The sequence below is a fragment of the Homo sapiens genome, chromosome 15 (assembly GCF_000001405.40).
Source record: "Homo sapiens chromosome 15, GRCh38.p14 Primary Assembly".
NCBI classification, from domain to species: Eukaryota; Metazoa; Chordata; class Mammalia; order Primates; family Hominidae; genus Homo; species Homo sapiens.
Window position 1 is genome coordinate 77,303,180 of NC_000015.10, and position 22,807 is coordinate 77,325,986.

General features: G+C 36.9%; 1 protein-coding gene across 33 annotated transcripts in view, besides 1 other annotated feature; it reads right to left on the bottom strand.

Moving 5' to 3' along the window:
• The window catches only part of PEAK1 (pseudopodium enriched atypical kinase 1), a 320,261-nt gene that overhangs the window by 202,526 nt on the left and 94,928 nt on the right, over nt 1-22,807 (bottom strand). The window contains exon 3 of one of the 33 annotated variants that reach the window (XM_047433069.1): nt 9,640-9,689. The exons of the other annotated variants lie outside the window; for them this stretch is intronic. The gene's annotated coding sequence lies outside the window, so the exon portion shown is untranslated. The remainder of the gene's footprint in view (nt 1-9,639; nt 9,690-22,807) is intronic. 33 annotated transcript variants of the gene reach the window in all.
• Nucleotides 4,214-4,414: a silencer, noted in NCBI's record as "peak2392 fragment used in MPRA reporter construct". NCBI's record gives its function as "represses an SCP1 promoter by STARR-seq MPRAs in K562 erythroleukemia cells {active_cell/tissue: K562}" and the evidence as "EXISTENCE:reporter gene assay evidence [ECO:0000049][PMID:32103011]".

Here is a 22,807-nt window from a genome sequence, read left to right on the forward strand (position 1 = left end):
CTTCCAGTTTTGGTAATTATAAATAAAGCTGCTACAAACATTTGTGTACAGGTCTTGTGTGAACAGAAGTTTTCAAATTAGTTGGGTAAATACCTAAGAGCATAACTGCTGATTTGCATGGTATGATCATGTTTAGTTTTATAAGAAACTGCCACCAAAGTGGCTGTAACATTTTACATTCTCACCAGCAATGAATGAGAGTTCCTGTTACTCCTGTTACTCCACATCCTCACCAGAATTTGGTCAGTGTTTTGAATTTCAGCCAATTGCTGAGTAGTGGTACCACATTATTGTTTTAATTTGCAATTCCCTAATGACACACAATGTTGACCATCTTTTTAAGTGCTAATTTTGCCATCTGCTTATCTTCCTTGATGGGGTGTCTCTTCAGATCTTCTGCCCATTTTTAAATTGGGTTATTTTCTCATTGTTGAGTCTTAAGAGTTCTTTGTATATTTTGGATTCAAGTGTTATATAAGTGTTTTACAAATATTTTCTCCCCATTTATAGCTTGTCTTTCCATTCTTTTAATAGAGTATTTCACAGAAGTTTTAAATTTTAACTAAGTCACAACTTACCAATATTTTTCTTTCATGTATCATTCTGATGTTGTATTTTAAAATCTTTTACCAAACCCAGTATCATATATGTTTTCCTCAATAAGTTTTATGTTGTATATTTAGGTCTATGCTCCATTTTGAGTTAATTATTGCATAAATTATAAGGTCTGTGTCTAGGTTCAGTTTTGGATATGGACATCCAATTGTTCCAGCACCATTTATTGAAAATGTCATCTTTTGTTAAAAATCAGTTGACTATATTCATGTGAATTTATCTTAGACTCTCCATTCTGTTCTATTAATCTATGTGTCTATTCTTTCACCAACACCATAGTATCTTGATTATCGTGGCCTTACAGTAAGCCAGGTAGTGTGAGTACTACAACTTTGCCAATTTTCTTCAGTATTCCACTGACTATACTAGGTATTTGGCTTTCCTTATGAGCTTTAGAATCAGTTTGTTGACGTCTACAAAATAGCTTGCTGGGATTTTGATTTGGGACTGTGTCAAGTCTATAGATCAAATTGGAAAGAACTGACATCACAACAATATTATTTCAATCCATGAACACAGAATCTCTCTCCATTTCTTTAGATCTTGTTTGATTAGTGCATTGTAGTTTTCCACCTATAGATATCTGTACGTATATTTTTTATCAGTGCCTTACAGTTTTCTAACTGTAGCTCCTAGCTCCTGTATACATTTTTTTTTTTTTTTTTTTTTTTTGAGACGGAGTCTCGCTCTGTCTCCCAGGCTGGAGTAAAGTGGCGCGATCTCTGCTCACTGCAAGCTCTGCCTCCTGGGTTCACACCATCTCCTGCCTCAGCCTCCCGAGTAGCTGGGACTACAGGTGCCCGCCACCACGTCCGGCCAATTTTTTTGTATTTTTAGTAGAGATGGGGTTTCACTGTGTTAGCCAGGATGGTCTCCATCTCCTGACCTCGTGATCTGCTGCCTCGGCCTCCCAAAGTGATGGGATTACAGGCATAAGCCACCACACCTGGCCAATCCTGTATACATTTTCTTTCATTTACACCTAAATATTTCATCTTTGGGAGTGCTATTGTAAATGGTACTTCCTGGGATTAAAAAGTTTTAGAACAACTTTCATATACAAATCACCTAGCCTACTTGGACTTGAGGTTTCCTATCTGTACAATGTGGATCATTCCTGCATGCATTACTGTAAAGGGCACAAAGATGAAGTACAGCCTGGGCAACAGAGTGAGACCTCATCTCTACAAAAGGTAAACAAAATTAGTCAGGCATCTTTGTGTGTGCCTGTAGTCCCAGCTCCTTGGGAAGCTGAGGTGGATCTCTTGAGCCCAGGAGGTTGAGGCTATAGTAAGTTGAGATTGAGCCACTGCACTCCAGCCTGGACAACAGAGCAAGACCCTGTTTCAAAAAAAGGAAGGAAGGAAGGAGGGAAGAAGGAAGGAAGGAAGGGAGGGAGGGACGGAAGGAGGGAGGGAGGGAGGGTGGGTGGGAGGGAGAGATGGAGGGATAATATAACAATATATGGAAAAATTATGAATAAATTAGAAATCACTAAACAAATATAATGGCCATTAAATCCACTGTCCTCCATATAACAACAAGGAAACAAAAGAGCAGAGAAATTAAGTCATTTGATAAAATTTTATTAGGGGCATGGAACAACTGAAAGTCCACATAGCAGCTAAAGGATATTAAGGGAACAAAATTGGCCAGAGGCGAAGGTCTATAAAGAGGGGTGGAAAGGTATTTAGAGAACCAGAGCTCAGACTGAATTACATATGTAATGAGGAGCCACTAAAAGTTCCTGACCAGGACAAAAGAAGAGATAATTACTATGGAGTTTTTTGGAAATTAATCTGACTGGTGGATAGGGTGGAATAAAACAGAGAATGAGTAGGACATGGGGAGAACAGTACAGTCTCCGTGCTATAGTTATCTCTCATTATCTGTGGGGAATTGGTTCCAGGACCCCTGTGAACACTAAAATCTGCAGATGATCAAGTCCCTTACATAAAATGGCATAGTATTTTATATAACCTGTGCACATCTTCCCGCATACTTTAAATCATCTCTGGATTACTTGCTATGTAAATAGTTGTGATACTGTATTTTTATTTGTGTTATTTTTATTATTGTGTTGCTATTTTTTATTTTCAAATATTTTTAATCTGTGGTTTGTTGAATCCACAGATATGAAACCCACGGACATGTAAGGCTGACTATTAGGTTACTGCAGAACCAATTGTGGCTTTTGCCATTACTTTTAATAATAGATTAGGGTCATGGCAAGAATTTCAGAACATGAAAGGTACTTAGACATATAAAACCCAAATTTTATATACACTGTAGGTTATTCTTACTAGCAAAGATTAGTACATATGGCACAACCCGTTTTGCTCTCCTTGTAATGGCAGTTAACGTGCATTTTTGCTTAGTCATTTCTCTTTTCAGTCCTGAATTTTTAAAAGTATATTAAGAAAGATGATGGAGGAAGACTAATTAGTCAGGAAGAGTTTAAAGGACTAAGAGTTTAAAGGACTCAGTAAGACCTCTTAAACAATTCAAGTTCTAAACCCTCCTTTGGACATAACTATGGAAATTCTGAGAATACTTTTGTCCTTTCACTTTTATAACACTTGCATTGTTTTTCAGAAATTATTTGGTTTACCTGCATACACTATTTCCTGGATAAGGCAACTAGAAAAAGGCTGATAGATGCAGGATACTTTCCTATGCCAATCAGAATTAAAGTGTATTTCTAGTTCCAGAGAAAGAATAGTTATAATCACTTAAAATCCCAGGAAATGGCCATGTGATAAAATTTGGCATTTACGTTTTGAACTGCCTAATCATTCCTTTTATAGACTGGCTGAAGGTTACTTTGTCTTTGGCATTTTCTTTTGTCTCGGCTGCTTTCCTCTGTCATCCAGGGCTCAGTTTCAAGGTTGAAATACATTATGATAATCACAGTCAACCAAAGGCATCCCAATTCCAAACTCTCCATAACTTGATGCTTTTCCCATCAATTTTACTTCAGTTAAAAGGCCAGTTAAAGGAAGAATGTATGAATAAATCTGAGCTTACAAGTGCTATTGCCAACATTACCTCACAGAATAAGGCTTTTTATTAAATTTGCTGTCTTTCCACTATATTATACATTAGAAACATAAACATGTACATAAACATCTTTTGAAATTAAGTGACTCCCCTTTAGAAAGCTGAACCTTCTCAATTAAAGGTTCCATATGTTTTACCTAAATAAGTTATTGCCCATAAGACTATGTCAAATATTTCTATTACTTCATATTTCCTCAATCACTTCTCTCTTAAAGCCAATGAAGAAAAACAGCAAATGGAAACATAAATTATTTTTATTATTAAACCATAAGTAACCTTCATGCATTTTTCAACTAGAGATTCAGGACAGAAACCATGACCAATAGCCAAGCCAAGTCCCAGGTCTGATGCTTACTGTATCTGACATTAAGTGTATCACAGCTTATTTGGACCTTAGCTTCTCTATGTGTAAAATGAGGGGACTGGACACAATGTTTGGTTAAACCGTCTTAAGTAAGCATAAACAACTGAAACTTCTAAACTTCTAATGCTGACATTTTCACAAAGAACATAGAGTCCTTTTGAAAACATTACCAGAATAAAAGATCTACAGAGATCTACTGTCGTAGATAACAAAGGAAAGAGAAGCGTAATCAATCGATAGATACAAACATTTGGGTTAATAAAATTTTAGAATCATCACAAAAGCCTTCCCTTAGCTTCCTTACTAACCAGCTTTTGCCTTCTCTTAACAATCAGTTTATTTATAAAAACCACTCCTCTTCAGGAGGTCTTATGCTAACTACCTCCTCTAGGTTTCCACTGTATACAATTTCCTCTCTATCAAGGCATTTCAACAAGACTATAAACTCTTTCCTTATTTGTGCTTGTAAGCTGGATCATATAGAGTAAATTGGATTATGCATTTTAGCTTTTGCATGTACTTCCCCCTCTCAACAAAAGGGATACAATTTGGAAAGGATCTGGCAAATAGTCCAAGTACTGGAAAAGAGAACCCTGCTCTCTTTGATCCTGCTCTCAAATTTTGAGTATATAGGCTGGGGTATTTACCTGGTAAACTCTGAGGAGGAAGACTCAGTGGGAAGGAATCAATAAGACCTCTTCAACAATTCAAGTTTAAATCTTCCTTTAGACTTAACTATGGGAATTCTGAGGATACTTTTGTCCTTTATTTAGTTACAGGCTTCATAATACTTAGTGTTAGGAATATACTAGCTGCTTAACAAATGTTGAAAACAGAATAAATAAAAGGTTAAAAATTTAAGAATTAACACGGCACAATTGAGCTTTTCAGGTATACTAACAGATATTCAACAGAATAAATATTTTAAAGGCTTTTTAATATAAGCTTTCATCTAATAAGCAGTTTGAAGTACTAGAAAGAGCACAGGCATTATCATACACATCTATGTGACTTAATCTCTCTGAGCTTCCTTCCATGTCTTCATTTGTAAAACTGGAATCAACTTAGTTTACAGAGTTGCTATAAAGATTTAAGCTAATGGACAGGAAGCATCTATTAGTCCATGCCCATGTAGGCGTTTGAAATATATATGGCAATATTATGTGACTTATTCCTCAGGGTAACTTCAGGCTTAATAGAGATAAAACCTTTTCCTCTGTGCTTTACTTTCAACATACCCCTCATTTGTATTTAAGTCCCTTCTGATCACATTCCAGTTAATAAATTTCAGTTATGTATGCTTCTCCCAAATGTCAGCTTCATTACAAGTTCTATTAGGAGGAAAGCTTTCCATACTTTAACAGTAGAGAAAAATCAGTTTTGATATTTCATTACTTTTCTGAAGTCCTAGAACAGTAATAATATTTATGACACTGAGCACCGAGGTTTACGAAGCAGTAAATAGCTTTTGTGGCTGATTAAGCATCTCTGTTTCACTTCACATACTCTGGTACCACAGGCATCACCCCTTAATTAAATGCTTGCTAATGTTGCACAAGGACTTTTCTTGGTCCTGTACCTTTCAACAAATGTTACAATGAGGGAGAAGAAAAAACAAGCTAAATTATTGAGATGCTGTGGATACTAAAAGTTCTGCTCAAAGCTGGGTCAATAACATGACATCATGAAAAAGTTACTGTATACAATACAAAATCAAAGCCAAAAAAAATCCAAAAAAAGCAGTACTTTGGAAAGATTCTATTTGAAATGTCTGCATTTCAGGAGTATGAGTAAAACCACAAACATCAGGTAAAAGGAGGAGCATATTCCTTTTCCCATGTTTGCTGCATATAAAATAATTAGTATAAAGTCATTTTATAATTTTCTTTGATATTAATACTTTAGCACCTGAGTGGCTAAAGATCAGAAAGGAACAAGTTTGTGCCATTACCAAAGATGAATATGTCTTTTCTCATTTATGGAGGTTTTATCCCAGAGTAAGATAAAGGAAAAGTAAAAAGAGAAACCTTAGAAACCCCTGACAAATTATGCTTAGGACTTTGAAGTTCATAGAAAGTTCAGCGGCCACCATTGCTTTTGACTCTCCTAATTGAAGCAAGTAGTAAATCTGTATTCTGCACAGACAGAAGGAATGACATATAAGGCTGCCACAAGTTTTATAATTAATGACAGAATGTGCATTTTCCAGCAAGGGAAAAAAAAAACACCTTTACAGCTTCCAGAAAATCAACAATCTACATGTGGTGGTTGCAAAATGCTGAATACATTGCATTTCTAAAATTAAACAGCTGATCACAGATTGAAAATGATAGTAATATGCAAATGTAATGGTGTAATAAAGTGAAGGAAGTGGTCACACATTACATAAATAATCACCTATTCCAGTTTCCTTCAACTATCCTCTGTCCCCACCCTTTATTTAATCCACCAAAAAAGCCTAAATAGCTTTTTAGATCTGTGAGCTAAACACCAAGTAGTATTTCAGTCTCACAACTAATTTGTCATTGCATATTTTTTATTTGCCATAAAAAACTATTAACTTGTTTTATATACAATCACCTTTATTATTTATACTAATAGAAAAGGACATAGTGGTGAGTAATCCAAAACATTCAAACAATCAAAACTTTAAATATTCAAACAGGACAATAAAAGAACCTTAAGTCATGACATATGAGGAACTGTGGCTATTCTTCCTGGAGAAAAACTGTTTAGGGAGAACATGGTAGCTGTCTTCTCATACCTGAGTTGTCATTTCACAAACAGTGCTAAGAACCCAAACTAGTGGACTAAATTTGTAAGGAGACAGGTTTCAGCTCACTACATGGAAGGAAGACAATCTCTTATGTATGGGTGGTAGAGAACACTCAGAAACCAACTGACATTGAATAGAGGTGGCTGGACTAAAACTCAGTAACTCTAAAGCCTCTTTGAATGCTTGAGCCTACGACTTTGTGATATATGTTTAAACTTATGGCCAAATCTGGATGTTTTTCAGGAGTTCATGAAGTCATACAAAAGTTTGAACTAATAGGTTTAAGTCTGGGGTCCCTGAGTCACTCCTTTTACAAGTCTCTTATGTTCCTAGCTTGGTCATAGCACTGTTTAAGCAGAACTTAAATTACTTAGAACTTTTCTGAACAAAGTAAACTGCTTTCTCTGCAGGTTTCATATCAAAGCACAAAAAATAAACCACAACTAAAAATTAGAGAACAAATGGCTTGGGCTGTAAAAAAGGTTTTGAGCAAAAGAACCTAGGGTGCTGACAAGAGCCACATTTAAGTAGTTTGCACCATGAAGTCCAAACAGGACAGGAGTCTAATGAGATGAGTGAAATGACCAGTTGCATACAAGTGAAGGTTTCTAGAAGGGCACATGCAGAAAAGCTACTTTTAGATGGGAGCTACAACCAATGTTGAAAATTAAATGCAACTATGTGCTTGTCAGCTTGCTCTACTATATAAGTTTATGCAAAAGACATGGAAAGTAAAACATACAACAAAGGAATCTGACCTAGACCTGGCTTGGGGATAACCTAAAGAAGCGTTGAGATCTGAAGGATGAAATCTAACTGATAAATGTTTCAGACAGGGGAATACCACATGCAAAGGTTCTGAGATGACAGGGAGCATAGTATGTTTAAAGAACTAAACAAACAAACAAAAACCCAATGAGGCTTGAGAAGTAAGTAGATAGGAACAAATCTATGCAGGACATTTTAGGTATTAGTTTACAGCCTAAGATCATTAGGAAACCAGAGAACATTTTTTAAACACAGGGCCATAATGATCAGATCTGTAGTTTGAAAAATCACTGGATACTGGTTAAAGAATAGATTTCACAAGTTATTAAAGTAGGTGCAGACAGACCATTTAAATAGGTTATTATGATGGTAGCCTAGAACAAAGTGGTGGTAATGAAGACGGAAGTAGATGAATTCAAGAGGCATCTCCCATATGATAACTGCCAGAGTTATTATGCAATAACAGAGGCTGGGTACAGGAATTCTTGACAGGGATAGGTTGAGAATTCAGAAGTTTTCTGAATGACCAGCTCTAAGTCTTAATTAAGGTCTAAAAGGCATTGGGAGTAGTAAGAATTTCAGGGTTGAAGGAATGTTCGGAAATAAATGAGGACATAGAAAATTAAAGGCAGGCCGGGTGCAGTGGCTCACGCCTGTAATCCCAACACTTTGCGAGGCAGAGGCGGGTGGATCACTTGAGGTCAGGAGTTCAAGTCTAGCCTGGCCAACATGGCAAAACCCTGTCTCTACTAAAAATACAAAAATTAGGCGTGCTGGCGGGTACCTGTAATCCTAGCTACTCGGGAGGCTGAGGCAGGGAGAATTGCTTGAACCCAAGAAGCGGAGGTTGCAGCAAGCCAAGATTGCACCACTGCACTCTAGCCTGGGAAACACAGCGAGATTCCAACCCCCCCAACCCCCACAAAAAAAAAAAAAAAAAAAAAGAAAAAGAAAACTAAAGGCAGAAGTTGTTAAACGTTTGGAATGAGATAAGGTGTGCGTCTGGTGGGGGGCACTGTGTAATGAGGACAGTGCCATAAGGTGGAGCTGGATAGCCACGCAGGTTCAGATCCTGGAGGGCTTTCACAAGAGAAAAAATTTGAACTTTACACTAGAGACTATGCAGAGCCAATATACAATTTTACTGAAGAGAAAAACAAGATTTTAAAGTGCCTTTAGAAAGACTGCCTAGTTAGTAGTGTGGGGAGGGATGAACACTGGGAGTAGGGATACTAGGTATGAAGAGTTGTATGAATCATGTGAGAGAAATTTATGACAGTCATAATTAGTGCAGGAGTAAAGGAAATAAAGAAAACGGACCAAAAAATTTTTACAAGGTAGGAAAAACAGGGCGTGGGGAGTTAGAGAAAATAAAGGGACTAGTACTACTCCTGGGTTTCTGTTCTGAAACTAGGTAAATAGTGAAACTTTTTGCTGACACAGAGAATACAATAAGAAAAATAGATTACAGTAACAGATGACAGGTAACTGCGACCAACTAAGTGACACATATTACTATATTCCATTTTTAATTATAGTTACTCATGTAATTATCCTATTCTGTACATCATTATTAAACCTGGGTTCAGAGAGTACGGAGCCAATACTGACTGATAAGAGTTTCTTTCTTTGTGCTCCATTTTATGGAGGCTTACACATGGTAGGTCTTCAACAGGTATTTTATAAATAAACAAATAACAATTCTGCCAACCAAATAAATAACTGAATTGGCTAAGACTATGTGTGGGGCTACACTCACAGAAAAACCAGGTAACAACAATTTAAACACACAGGATTTTATTTTAGGCAATCAGCAGTCTGGGGCTGGGCAGACCAGGAATGGTTTGACTGCAGGTCATCAATGACATCACAAAACAAAGTCCTTCTATCCATCTGCTGTGCATTCCCTCGAATTTGTTTTCATACTCATGATGAACCTCCAGGCATCAGTTCCATATTCCTGGCAGGAAGAAGGCTGAAGGCCTAAAAATATCTCCCATAAGGTTTTGATTTTTGATTATGGAAAGAAAGCTCTCCCCAGTGGACTTGTACTTACATGTCCCTGGCCAGCACTGTGTCACAGGGCCAACCCTAGCTGAAAGATGTCTAAAGGGAGAAGGAAGGGAAGGACAAGGTAGTTAGAAATGGATAATCAGTGAGCCAAAATACATTTAACATGGTAGAATTTATATTTGGCTTATCAGAAGCCTTTTAAAATAAAAGGAAAAACCAGAAGTAGGAATAGAATATTAAGCAAAAACAAAATAATATCTAGATTTTGGTTTCTTACACTATTCTCTAATAAAAGGAAGGCTCTTTGGCAAAAATTGCTATTTCTAGGGCTATCGCAGGAAATACACAAGATAAACCTGGGGCATTTTGTAGTGTCAGAAAATTTTTTAAATGCTTAAATACACACACAAAATATGGTTGATATGGGTATGTCAAAGGGGCGCAGGAGGCAACTGAAAGAACTTCCAATGGTTAAAGCTGAAACAAGATGAGCAATAAAATAAAGTAATACTGGATTAAAATCCAAAGTATAAAATAAGTCTTCAAGTTCATACCAATATAAATAACTAAGTAAATAAATGAGGAAGAATAAACAAATTTCCTAGGCAGAATAATCAAATAGTTTATTCACTTCTTCTAGGAAGTGCAACCTAACATAGGCTGTGCACAAAGACTTCCTTTTATTTTATTTATTTATTTGTTTATTTTGAGATGGAGTTTCACTCTTGTTGCCCAAGCTGGAGTGCAATGGCGCGAACTCGGCTCACCGCAACCTCCACCTCCTGGGTTCAAGCGATTCTCCTGCCTCAGCCTCCTGAGTAGCTGGGATTACAGGCATGCACCACCATGCCCAGTAATGTATGTATGTATGTATGTATGTGTGTGTGTGTGTGTGTGTGTGTGTGTGTGTGTGTGTGTATATATATATATGTATGTGTGTGTGTGTGTGTGTATATATATATATATTTATTTATTTATTTATTTTTAGTAGAGATGGGATTTCTCCATGTTGGTCAGGCTGGTCTCGAACTCCTGACCTCAGATTACCCACCCACCTCGGCCTCCCAGAGTGCTGGGATTACAGGTGTGAGCCACCGTGCCCGGCCAAGACGTCCTTTTAAAGAGTAGTATATGGAAAGAGGGGAAAAGAATAACTTTACAATGGAGAAACCTGGCAAACACTACCTTAGCCAGTGAGCAAGGTTAACATCAACAGCGATAAGTCATGCTGACAGTATATACCCTTGATATGATGTGATGAGAATGGTACTTTATTTCTGTGGTCTTCCTTTCAAAACTTGTGTCACTGATGTATTTTAAAACTTTTGTTTAAAGCATTACAGTATTTTTCTGTGACCATCAATTAATATGAGGGTTTGTGTTATAAGAGTTAAAGCATATGCTATCATTGTATTCTTTAAGAACCTTATTTTGATAAAATGTAAATTTGTTGAACCCTGCCACATTTAGTATCCCCACCCTCAAATCCTGTTCCAATGAAAAAAGTAAAACCTGATACGAAAAAAAAAAAATTCAGTTAACCTATTTTGGGTCTGTAGGCTGACCTCAACCCTGTAATATAACCCATTACAATGAATTTTCTTTTTTTTTAAGACAGAGTTTCTCTCTGTCACCCAGGCTGGAGTGCAATGGTGCGATTTCAGCTCACTGCAACCTCTGCCTCCCCGGGTTCAAGCGATTCTCCTGCCTCAGCCTCCTGAGTAGCTGGGATTACAGGCACATACCACCACGCCCAGCTAATTTTTGTATTTTTAGTAGAGGCAGGGTTTCACCATGCTGGTCAGGATGGTCTCGAACTCCTGACTTCATGATCCACCCACCTCGGCCTCCCAAAGTGCTGAGATTACACATGTGAGCCACTGCGTCCTGCCTAAAACGAATTTTCTAGATGACTGAATAACAGTAGTCCTCTGGTAGGAGATAATGACTTGGTTGATGGCCTTAATATACTACTTAATTACTTAAGATGTTTATTAATAGAATGATAAATGTACAGAGTAACGTATAAGCATGACATACTTTTGCTTTCCGTAGTTTCATGTAAAGAAAAAAACTTGAAAATAGTAATACCTGACGACCCATGGGAATAACAGACACTGGGGAGGTAGGGTGTGGAGTGGGAGCAAGAGCTGAAAAACTACCTACTGGCACTCTGCTCACTACCTGGGTGACAGCATCATCCGTACCCCAAACCTCAGCATCACACAGTATACCCAGCTAACAAACCTGCCCATGTGTTCCCTGAATCTAAAATAAAAATCGAAATAATTTTTTTAAAAAAGAAAAAGACAACAGTATTACCCATGGGACAAAATTTGTACTAATAGCAAGAATTATTTTGTGTCTCATTTAGAAACAATTTGACTTTTGTTCCAGTGTTTAAACTTTGACAAAAATGGTTTTGAATAGATCTTTATAACCTGATGCCATAAATACAAGATTCTCTGATACTTTCATTTAATATATCAATATTGGGCCTAAAACAGTATTCTGTAAAGCTTAAATTGGTATTAACTATGATCATCTTGATGTCTACGATAGATAATAAACAAGGTCATACATACCTTACTAAACAACTTTGGTTTTTCACCAACATTTTATTCTTTAAAAGATTCAGACTAACAGAGTTACTTAGCATTTCGAGTCGTGTGCTTTATTTAGCAAGTGAGTAAAAATATTGGAATATTTAAGTATTTGCATAAAAAATCAAATGGTAGTGTTTTGTAATCTCTACTGTATTTCCTATTAAGGTTTTATATATTACTTTCCCATTGTTCCTGAATTTGTTATCCCATATATAAACAGAAACACGGATGAGTAAAAAAAATAAAAATAAAATAAAAAATAAAAAAATAAAAATCAACAACAACTATATATTATATATGTACAGGAAAAAAACCCATGAGTCTAATCATGAGAAAAACATTGGACAAATCACAAAAGAGGGACATTCTACAATATCCCTCACCAGTACTCCTCTAAATTGTCAAGAACATAAAAAATAAAGATTATCAGAGAAATCATCACAGCCAAGAGAAGAATAAGAAGACCTGAAAACTAAATGTAAGTGTGGTATCCTAGATGGGTTCCTGGAACACAAAAATGATACAGGTAAAAACTAAGGAAATCTGAATAAACTATGAATTTTAGCTAATAATATCAATATTGGTTTATTTATTGTAACAAATGCACCATAAGATGTTAATAAATATGATAGGGTACGTGTGTATTGGGGGGAGGGCATATGGAAACTCTTGTACCATCTTCTCAATTTTTCTATAAATCTAAAACTGCTCTTAAAAAGCCTGTTTAAAAATTCAATAGCTAACTGTAATGCCACCACAGTATTAACACTGTGAGATATATTTTATCAGTTTTGTTTTTCTTTACGTGCATGTGTATTCACATACCCAACAGGTTTAGTTTTTCTATTTTAGTCAAATGATAAATACATGTTCACCATAGAAAAATTAGAAAATAGAGACTTTTAAAACTTCTGTAATGCCATCACCACAAATAAATATGATTGCCATTTTGACATACAGCCTTCCAGCTGTATATGTATATATCTATTTATCTATGTACTATTCCTTCATCACCCATTTCCTGATTCTTACATAAACATACTTAGATTTTATCACAAAGTTATTTTCTCTGGAAAATTCTCCCTGGTTCCCAAAGCAGGTTAAGTCTCTCTAATAAGCACTTACATAGCTCCCTGTACTGCTCTTTCCTAGTGCTTATAACATTTGTAATCAAATGGTCAATTGAGAAATTAATCATCATTAATGCCTGTCTTCCCACAAAAATGTAAGCTTCATATATTATTCATCGTAGTTTCCCCACCATGGTGCCTTAAACACAGCAAGTATTCAATGAATAATAGCTGACGAAATGAATGAATACTACATGTACACAGTGAAGTAACAACATAGCTATTAAAACTATATGTATACCTATGGAAAAATGTTCAACATAGCTTAGCGAAAAGTAAGATGCAGCTGGGTGCAGTGGCTCACACCTGTAATCCCAGCACTTTGGGAGGCTGAGGCAGGCAGAAAACCTGAGGCCGAGAGTTTGAGACCTGCCTGGCCGACATGGCAAAACCCTGTCTCTACTAAAAAAAATACAAAAATTAGCTGGGCGTGGTGGCGTGCACCTGTAGTCCCAGCTACTTAGGAGGCTGAGGCAGGAGAATTGCTTGAACCCAGGAGGTGGAGGTTGCAGTGAACCAAGATGGCACCACTGCACTCCAGCCTGGGTGACAGAGCAAGACTCTGTCTCAAATAAATAAATAAATAAGATGCAAAACAATACGCACAGCAAATTCTCATTTTCTGTTTCAATAATAACAAAAGCTTACTATGTGCATAGAAAAAAAATACAACAAAGAGTTCAAAATCGTTAAGTCTGGGTGGGGAATTTCAGTAAGTTTTCATTTCCTAGTGTAAATATCTGTCATGTTTCAATTTTTATTAAGTATGCATTATTTTTATGAACAGAAAAACAAAGATAAAATATGCCTTCATTATGGAAAAATTAGAAAAGGCAATTCTTTTCAAAAAAACTAAACAACTTGTTATTATCAATCTCATTATACCAGACACAATCAGTTAATAATTCAGTATATTTCCTTTTAATTTGTACCTTGCACATTTATTTTTGTTTGACATACTATAGGTAAATTTATATTTTGACTTTTATGTCTCATTTCATCCTGACAATTACCTTATCAGGGAGACAACCTTTGGCCACATCAGCAGCAGCACAAATGAGTTGAATCATGAGCATGTGTTCCCAGAGCTGGTTAAAAACAGACAGAAGAATGGGGTCTCCTGACTCTCAGTCTTTCACTCCTCGTTAGCCCTCACAGTTCAGCAACAAATTATCAAAGTTGAGATATCATATGTACTATAAAATGACTGAATTCAAATTGAACAGCTCTACAAGTTTAATCACTTTTATAGTATTTCAAATGTTCATATAGTTAGGCAAATGTTTATTGTAGTCTTAGAAGGAAAGATATCTGTAATTACTAAAAAGAACACCAACCAGCATAACTATTGATATACGTAACAATTTGGATAGATCTCAAGGGAATCATGTTGGGTGTAAAAAGCCATTCTCAAAGGCTATATACAAATACTGTATGATTCCATTTATATAGCATTCTAAAAATGATGACATTTCAGAAATGGAAAGCAGATTAATGGTTGCCAGGGACCAGGAATTGGCAGGGGGAGGGAAGATTGAGGGTAACTATAAAGGGGTAGCATAAGGGAGATCTTTGTAGGTATGGAACAGCTTTGTATCTTGACTATTTTGATAGTTAGACAAATCTACACAGGTAACAAAATTGCATGCATGCATGCATACACACACACACACACAAATGTATATAAACTAGTGAAATCTGAATAAGGCTTATGGATTATACCACTGTCGATTTTACGGTTTTGCTATTATAATACAGTTTTGTAAGATGTTATGATTGGGGGTAACTGGTGAACAGTAGACAGGAGATCTCTGTATTATATTGGCAACTTCCTGTGAATATTTAACTTAAAAGTTTTCAAATGGGCAAAAAGGATAAATGACACAAAAACCTCATAATTAACCCTTGCCAGAAACCCCTTATATTAGGGTTTCATAAATGTTTGAAACACACAGTAGTAAATGTGTGGGAAGAAAAATACCACAGAGGAGAATTTCTAACAGAGCTGTCCAACGACAGAGTGGGATCTCAGGCAGGCAGTAAGCTTCTCACTGGAGGTATGTGAACAGAGAGAATGATTTTCTGAAGAGGGATATGGTAAGAATGACTCATTAATTTATAAGTTATAATTTATTAGTCATAAATTATAAATTAATGTATAACTTATAAAATATAATTTATAATTTATTAATTAGAATAAATACCTATTCTAATTCTCCTTTATGAATTTAGCAAACATGCGGTATAAGTAACACAAAACCCACTCCCTCTCTCCCCAGCTTGCAATCATGTCAGATGCTAATAGATGACACCCCTCCTTACCACATGTCCCCTATAAACCTCCTAATTCTGAACAGGTGCTTCAGGTAGCTACTACAGTCGGAGTTAGTATTTGCTTTCCTGAACCACGAACCACCTAACAATGTGGTCAATGTTCTACAAACTCTCTGAAGATGGCAAAAGTATAAAATGCTAATTCAAAAGTAAAGCTTTGCCACACCTTGCACTAGAACCAAGAAGACAACCTAATAGGATCCAAAGAAGACTGTCTCCAGCTATAACAATATTCATAATCACTATGATATAATACTTTGAAATTTAGTAACTACTCTGATCTAATGTCCTACTAGCTCTTACCTTTTAAACTATTCTTACAGAAAAGGTGGATAAATTATTCTGGTCTATAACAGGTGAAATTCTGGCAAACGGAAGGTAAGAAATAATTTGCCCCAAATGTAGTTTAAAAAAAAAAAAAAGCGTGCCCTAGCACCACTTATAAAACTCAAGGCTTTAAATCTTTTCAGTGATCTACAAACACCTTTCTTTAAAAAGGAGCAAAATTGTTGAAGAAAATATCAAATATAAGGAAAAATAAGTGTATACTGATTATACTCATTATCTCTGAAGTAACCAAAGAGTTAATCACTGATTTTTAAAGTTCTTAAATAAAAGAAAGTAAACAAAAACTGGTTGTAACTGCCAGACAGGAAATTTCTGTTGGATGCAGAGAAGATTCTAGGAGTAGCTTGTGATGATAATGGAAAAGGGCACTTTGGCTAATAGACAGACCTAGAACACTGAGATAAAAGGTTCTCTGAAGTGTTTTACTTTTTAATAGGTTTTAAGGAATAAGAACACCAACCACTTCAACTAGCCAATATATAAAATAAAAATATTGAATGTGGACCACTGTTTTCTAATTTTGTGCACCATCAATCCCTCTTAAATAGTTCTACCCCACAAGGCTATCTGTTCTAATGTTATAGGCCTTCTAATACCAAATTTATAGATGCACCCATTTAGAGCAGTGCAAATTCATCGCTGTTTCTGGCAATATCACTATGGATGATCTTTTACTCTTTGTTTACTTTCTTCATTTGCAAAGTGGGAAGCTGCTCCCAATGAAAAATATCGTTAAAAGGTCAACTACAAAGCAGAACCAACATGAGATTTTATTATAAATAACAAAATGCCTTCTTTGTAACAAAGATATTCTTGTGCTTTAAAATTTACTTTTGTTTTTCTCTTAGTAATCATCACTGAAATTGCTAATATATGATGTAGAAGTAAAGAGCTTCTGAAAGATTCTCCTAGGCAGAACTGGCTGCCTCCTTCAGTCATCCAGGATTTTTGGCCTGGTGACCTTAGTTTCTCTTTATTGCCCAGTGTCCCTGTTACCTGACCTCCTTAGTTCCTCTTTACTCCCTAGTGTCACTCCTACCAACAGAAATCACTTGGTACAGAATTCAATAATAAAATGTCTATCCCCACCATACTGTAATTATTTGCATATATAGCTGTCTCCCCCACTGACCTCCTCAAGAATAAAACACTCTATCTCATATATTTTATATCCCTAGTGCTGATCATGATGCTTACAAACAGTAGACCCTGGGGAAAAGTTTATTAAAACATTGAGTAATGACTACCAAACTCTCTAAGGAGAAAAAATTCCACTGTTTACTAGAATCTTACTTCCAAGGTTTTCTAGACAAAATAAAATAGAATATCCACACCAACAATTTATGCCTTGCCTTGGTAGTTCATTGTTTTTCGTATCTGGGAGTTAAATGACCTTATCTAGAGCAGCTAACTGAGCCTCACATTTCTCTGTGCCAAAGTTTAAGACTTTATTTATTTTTTTCCCCCAGCATTTTTTTTATTATACTTTAAGTTTTAGGGTACATGGGCACAACGTGCAGGTTAGTTACATATGTATACATGTGCCATGTTGGTGTGCTGCACCCATTAACTCGTCATTTAACATTAGGTACATCTCCTAATGCTATCCCTCCCCCGTCCCCCACAGCACAACAGGCCCCAGTGTGTGATGTCCCCCTTCCTGTGTCCATGTGTTCTCATTGTTCAATTCCCACCTATGAGTGAGAGCATGCGGTGTTTGGTTTTTTGTCCTTGCGACACTTTGCTGAGAATGATGGTTTCCAGCTTTATCCATGTCCCTACAAAGGACATGAACTCCTCATTTTTTATGGCTGCATAATACTCCATGGTGTATATGTGCCACATTTTCTTAATCCAGTCTGTCATTGTTGGACATCTGGGTTGGTTCCAAGTCTTTGCTATTGTGAACAGTGCCACAATAAACATATGTGTGCATGTGTCTTTATAGCAGCATGATTTATAATCCTTTGGGTATATACCCAGTAATGGGATGGCTGGGTCAAATGGTATTTCTAGTTCTAGAGCCCTGAGGCATCGCCATACTGACTTCCACAATGGTTGAACTAGTTTACAGTCCCACCAACAGTGTAAAAGTGTTCCTATTTCTCCACATCCTCTCCAGCGCCTGTTGTTTCCTGACTTTTTAATGATCGCCATTCTAACTGGTGTGAGATGGTATCTCCTTGTGGTTTTGATTTGCATTTCTCTGATGGCCAGTGATGATGGGCATTTTTTCATGTGTCTTTTGGCTGCTTAAATGTCTTCTTTTGAAAAGTGTCTGTTCATATCCTTTGCCCACTTTTTGATGGAGATGTTTTTTTCCTGTAAATTTGTTTAAGTTCATTGTAGATTCTGGATATTAGCCCTTTGTCAGATGAGTAGATTGCAAAAATTTTCTCCCATTCTGTAGGTTGCCTGTTCACTCTGATGGTAGCTTCTTTTGCTGTGCAGAAGCTCTTTAGTTTAATTAGATCCCAATTGTCAATTTCGGCTTTTGTTGCCATTGCTTTTGGTGTTTTAGACGTGAAGTCCTTGCCCATGCCTATGTCCTGAATGGTATTGCCTAGGTTTTCTTCTAGGGTTTTTATGGTTTCAGGTCTAACATTTAAGTCTTTAATCCATCTCAAATTAACTTTTGTATAAGGTGTAAGGAAGGGATCCAGTTTCAGCTTTCTACACATGGCTAGCCAGTACTCTTCAGCAAATGTAAAAGAACAGAAATTATAACAAACTGTCTCTCAGGCCACAGTGCAATCAAACTAGAACTCAGGATTAAGAAACTCACTCAAAACCGCTCGACTACATGGAAACGGAACAACCTGCTCCTGAATGACTACTGGATACATAACGAAATGAAGGCAGAAATAAAGATGTTCTTTGAAACCAACGAGAACAAAGACACAACATACCAGAATCTCTGGGACACATTCAAAGCAGTGTGTAGAGGGAAATTTATGGCATTAATGCCCACAAGAGAAAGCAGGAAAGATCTAAAATTGACACTCTAACATCACAATTAAACGAACTAGAGAAGCAAGAGCAAACACATTCAAAAGCTAGCAGAAGGCAAGAAATAACTAAGATCAGAGCAGAACTGAAGGAAATAGAGACACAAAAAACCCTTCAAAAAATCAATGAATCCAGGAGCTGGTTTTTTGAAAGGATCAACAAAATTGATAGACCGCTAGCTAGACTAATAAAGAAGAAAAGAGAGAAGAATCAAATAGACGCAATAAAAAATGATAAAGGGGATATCACCACCGATCCCACAGAAATACAAACTACCATCAGAGAATACTATAAACACCTCTATGCAAATAAACTAGAAAATCCACAAGAAATGGATAAATTCCTCAACTCTTACACCCTCCCAAGACTAAACCAGGAAGAAGCTGAATCTCTGAATAGACCAATAACAGGCTCTGAAATTGAGGCAATAATTAATAGCTTACCAACCAAAAAAAGTCCAGGACCAGATGGATTCACAGCCAAATTCTACCAGAGGTACAAGGAGGAGCTGGTACCATTCCTTCTGAAACTATTCCAATTAATAGAAAAAGAGGGAATCCTCCCTAACTCATTTTATGAGGCCAGCATCATCCTGATACCAAAGCCTGGCAGAGACACAACAACAACAAAAAAAGAATTTTAGACCAATATCCCTGATGAACATCGATGCAAAAATCCTCAATAAAATACTAGCAAACCGAATCCAGCAGCACATCCAAAAGCTTATCCACCATGATCAAGAGGGCTTCATCCCTGGGATGCAAGGCTGGTTCAACATACACAAATCAATAAACGTAATCCAGCATATAAACAGAACCAAAGACAAAAACCACATGATTATCTCAATAGATGCAGAAAAGGCCTTTGACAAAATTCAACAACCTTCATGCTAAAAACTCTCAATAAATTAGGTATTGATGGGACGTATCTCAAAATAATAAGAGCTATCTATGACAAACCCACAGCCAACATCATACTGAATGGGCAAAAACTGGAAGCGTTCCCTTTGAAAACTGGCACAAGACAGGGATGCCCTCTCTCACCACTCCTATTCAACATAGTGTTGGAAGTTCTGGCCAGGGCAATCAGGCAGGAGAAGGAAATAAAGGGTATTCAATTAGGAAAAGAGGAAGTCAAATTGTCCCTGTTTGCAGATGACATGATTGTATATCTAGAAAACCCCATTGTCTCAGCCCAAAATCTCCTTAAGCTGATAGGCAACTTCAGCAAAGTCTCAAGACACAAAATCAATGTGCAAAAATCACAAGCATTCTTATACACCAATAACAGACAAACGGAGAGCCAAATCATGAGTGAACTCCCATTCACAATTGCTTCAAAGAGAATAAAATACCTAGGAATCCAACGTACAAGGGACGTGAAGGACCTCTTCAAGGAGAACTACAAACCACTGCTCAATGAAATTAAAGAGGATACCAACAAATGGAAGAACATTCCATGCTCATGGGTAGGAAGAATCAATACCATGAAAATGGCCATACTGCCCAAGGTAATTTATAGATTCAATGCCATCCCCATCGAGCTACCAATGACTTTCTTCACAGAATTGGAAAAAACTACTTTAAAGTTCATATGGAACCAAAAAAGAGCCTGCATTGCCAAGTCAATCCTAAGCCAAAAGAACAAAGCTGGAGGCATCACGCTACCTGACTTCAAACTATACTACAAGGCTACAGTTACCAAAACAATATGGTACTGGTACCAAAACAGAGATACAGACCAATGGAACAGAACAGAGCCCTCAGAAATAATGCCACATATCTACAACCATCCGATCTTTGATAAACCTGACAAAAACAAGAAATGGGGAAAGGATTCCCTATTTAACAAAGTTTAAGACTTTAGAGACAGACAATGAGATCCTCAGGACAGGAAACATGTCTTATTTATCTCTGTACTCCTAATACTTGGTTATGGAATATGCGCTCAATAAATGTTTGCTGAGTGAATGCATTATTAAATTGATCCACATTGCTGGGTGTGATGGCTCACGCCTGTAATCCCAGCACTTTGGGAGGCTGAGGCGGGTAAATCACTTGAGGCCAGGAGTTCCGAGACCAGCATGGCCCACATGGTGAAACCCCCATCTCTACTAAAAATACAAAAAATTAGCTGGGCATAGTGGTGGGTGCCTGTAAGCCCAGCTACTCAGGAGGCTAAGGCACGAGAATCACTTGAATCCAGAAGGCGGAGGCTGCTGTGAGCTGAGATCACACCACTGGGCGACAGAGTGAGACTCTGTCCCAAAAGAAAAAATAAAATACTGTTTTTATACCAGCTAAAAACAATGTATTAGGCTGTTCTCACTTTGCTATAAAGAAATAACTGAGACTGAGTAATTTATAAAGAAAAGAGGTATATTTGGCTTATAGTGCTGTAGGCTATACAGGAAGCACAGCAGCATCTGGTTCTGGGAAGGCTTCAGGAAGCTTACAATCATGGCAGAAGGCAAAGGGGGAGGAGGCATCACACATGGCAAAAGCAGGAGCAAGAACGGATAGGAGGTGCCACACACTTTTAAATGACCAGATCTTGCAAGAACTCTCTCACTATTGTGAAGACAGTACCAAGGGGATGGTACTAAACCATTGATGAGAAATTTGCCCCCATGATCCAATCACCTCCCACCAGGCCCCACATCCAACACTGATGATTACAATTCAATGTGAGATTTGGATGGGGACACAGATTCAAACCATAACAAACAACTTCTAATATCAGACCCACAATCCATGTAAAAAAAACTAGACATATTTGTCTCACTAGTGTTTATACAGTAATTTGAAGCAAACAGTGATGTATCAAATTGAATTCAGTTCTTAGGTCCCAAGTAGAGTGAAATATAAAGATAATGTGGAAAAGAAACAAAAACAAAAAAACAGCTAGAATACATTCTCTCAAAACCCTTCCCTTGGCTGGGTGTGGTGGCTCATGCCTACAATCTCAACAATTTGGGAGGCCAAGGTGGGAGAATTGCTGAGACTGAGTTTGGGACCAGCTTGGGCAACATAGGGAGCCCTGTCTCTATAAAAATAAATTAGCCAGGTGTGGTGGCACACACCTGTATTCCCAGCTATTCAGGAGGCTGAGGTGGGAGGACAGCTTGAGCCTGAGTGGTAGGCTACAGTGAGCTTTGATCGTGCCATTGCACTCCAGTCTGTGTGACAGAGCAAGATCCCATCTCAATAAATAAATAAATAAATAAATAAATAAATAAATAAATAAATAAAATAATTAATAAAACACTTTTTCCTTGGTGTGACCATGGCAAATAGGTGGAACTCAGCTGTCAAGCGCTTTTATATAGAGAGGGTAAATTAGCAGTGATGGGGCCACTGAAAAGCCAGAAACAGTTCATCTCCTTGTAAAGTTTCCATTTTCTTGGCAAATGAAAGTTCCCAAGAGTAAGTGCTACCTTTCTATTTTGGAACTGATTTTAAAAAAGATGTTTCTGAGGTCTTTGGATTTAGTTTCTCTTAATAATATACAAACCAAATTTCTCAGCTGATATATTTAATGATGATTTTCTAACTGGGATCTGAAAATCCAGCTGTGCCATACCCACTGCTTTCTTATGCCTCTCCCTCTTAGTGACTAAGATTCTTTGATATGAATTTAGGTCATCCTGAAATATAATAAATTTTGGTTACCTTATATAAAGTTAAAGTTGGAGAATGGACTAAGATTTTAAAATAGCTACAAATGTAAGGTGACCATATAAATATAACAGAGAACTAGTACAAATTTAAAAAAAAAACATAAC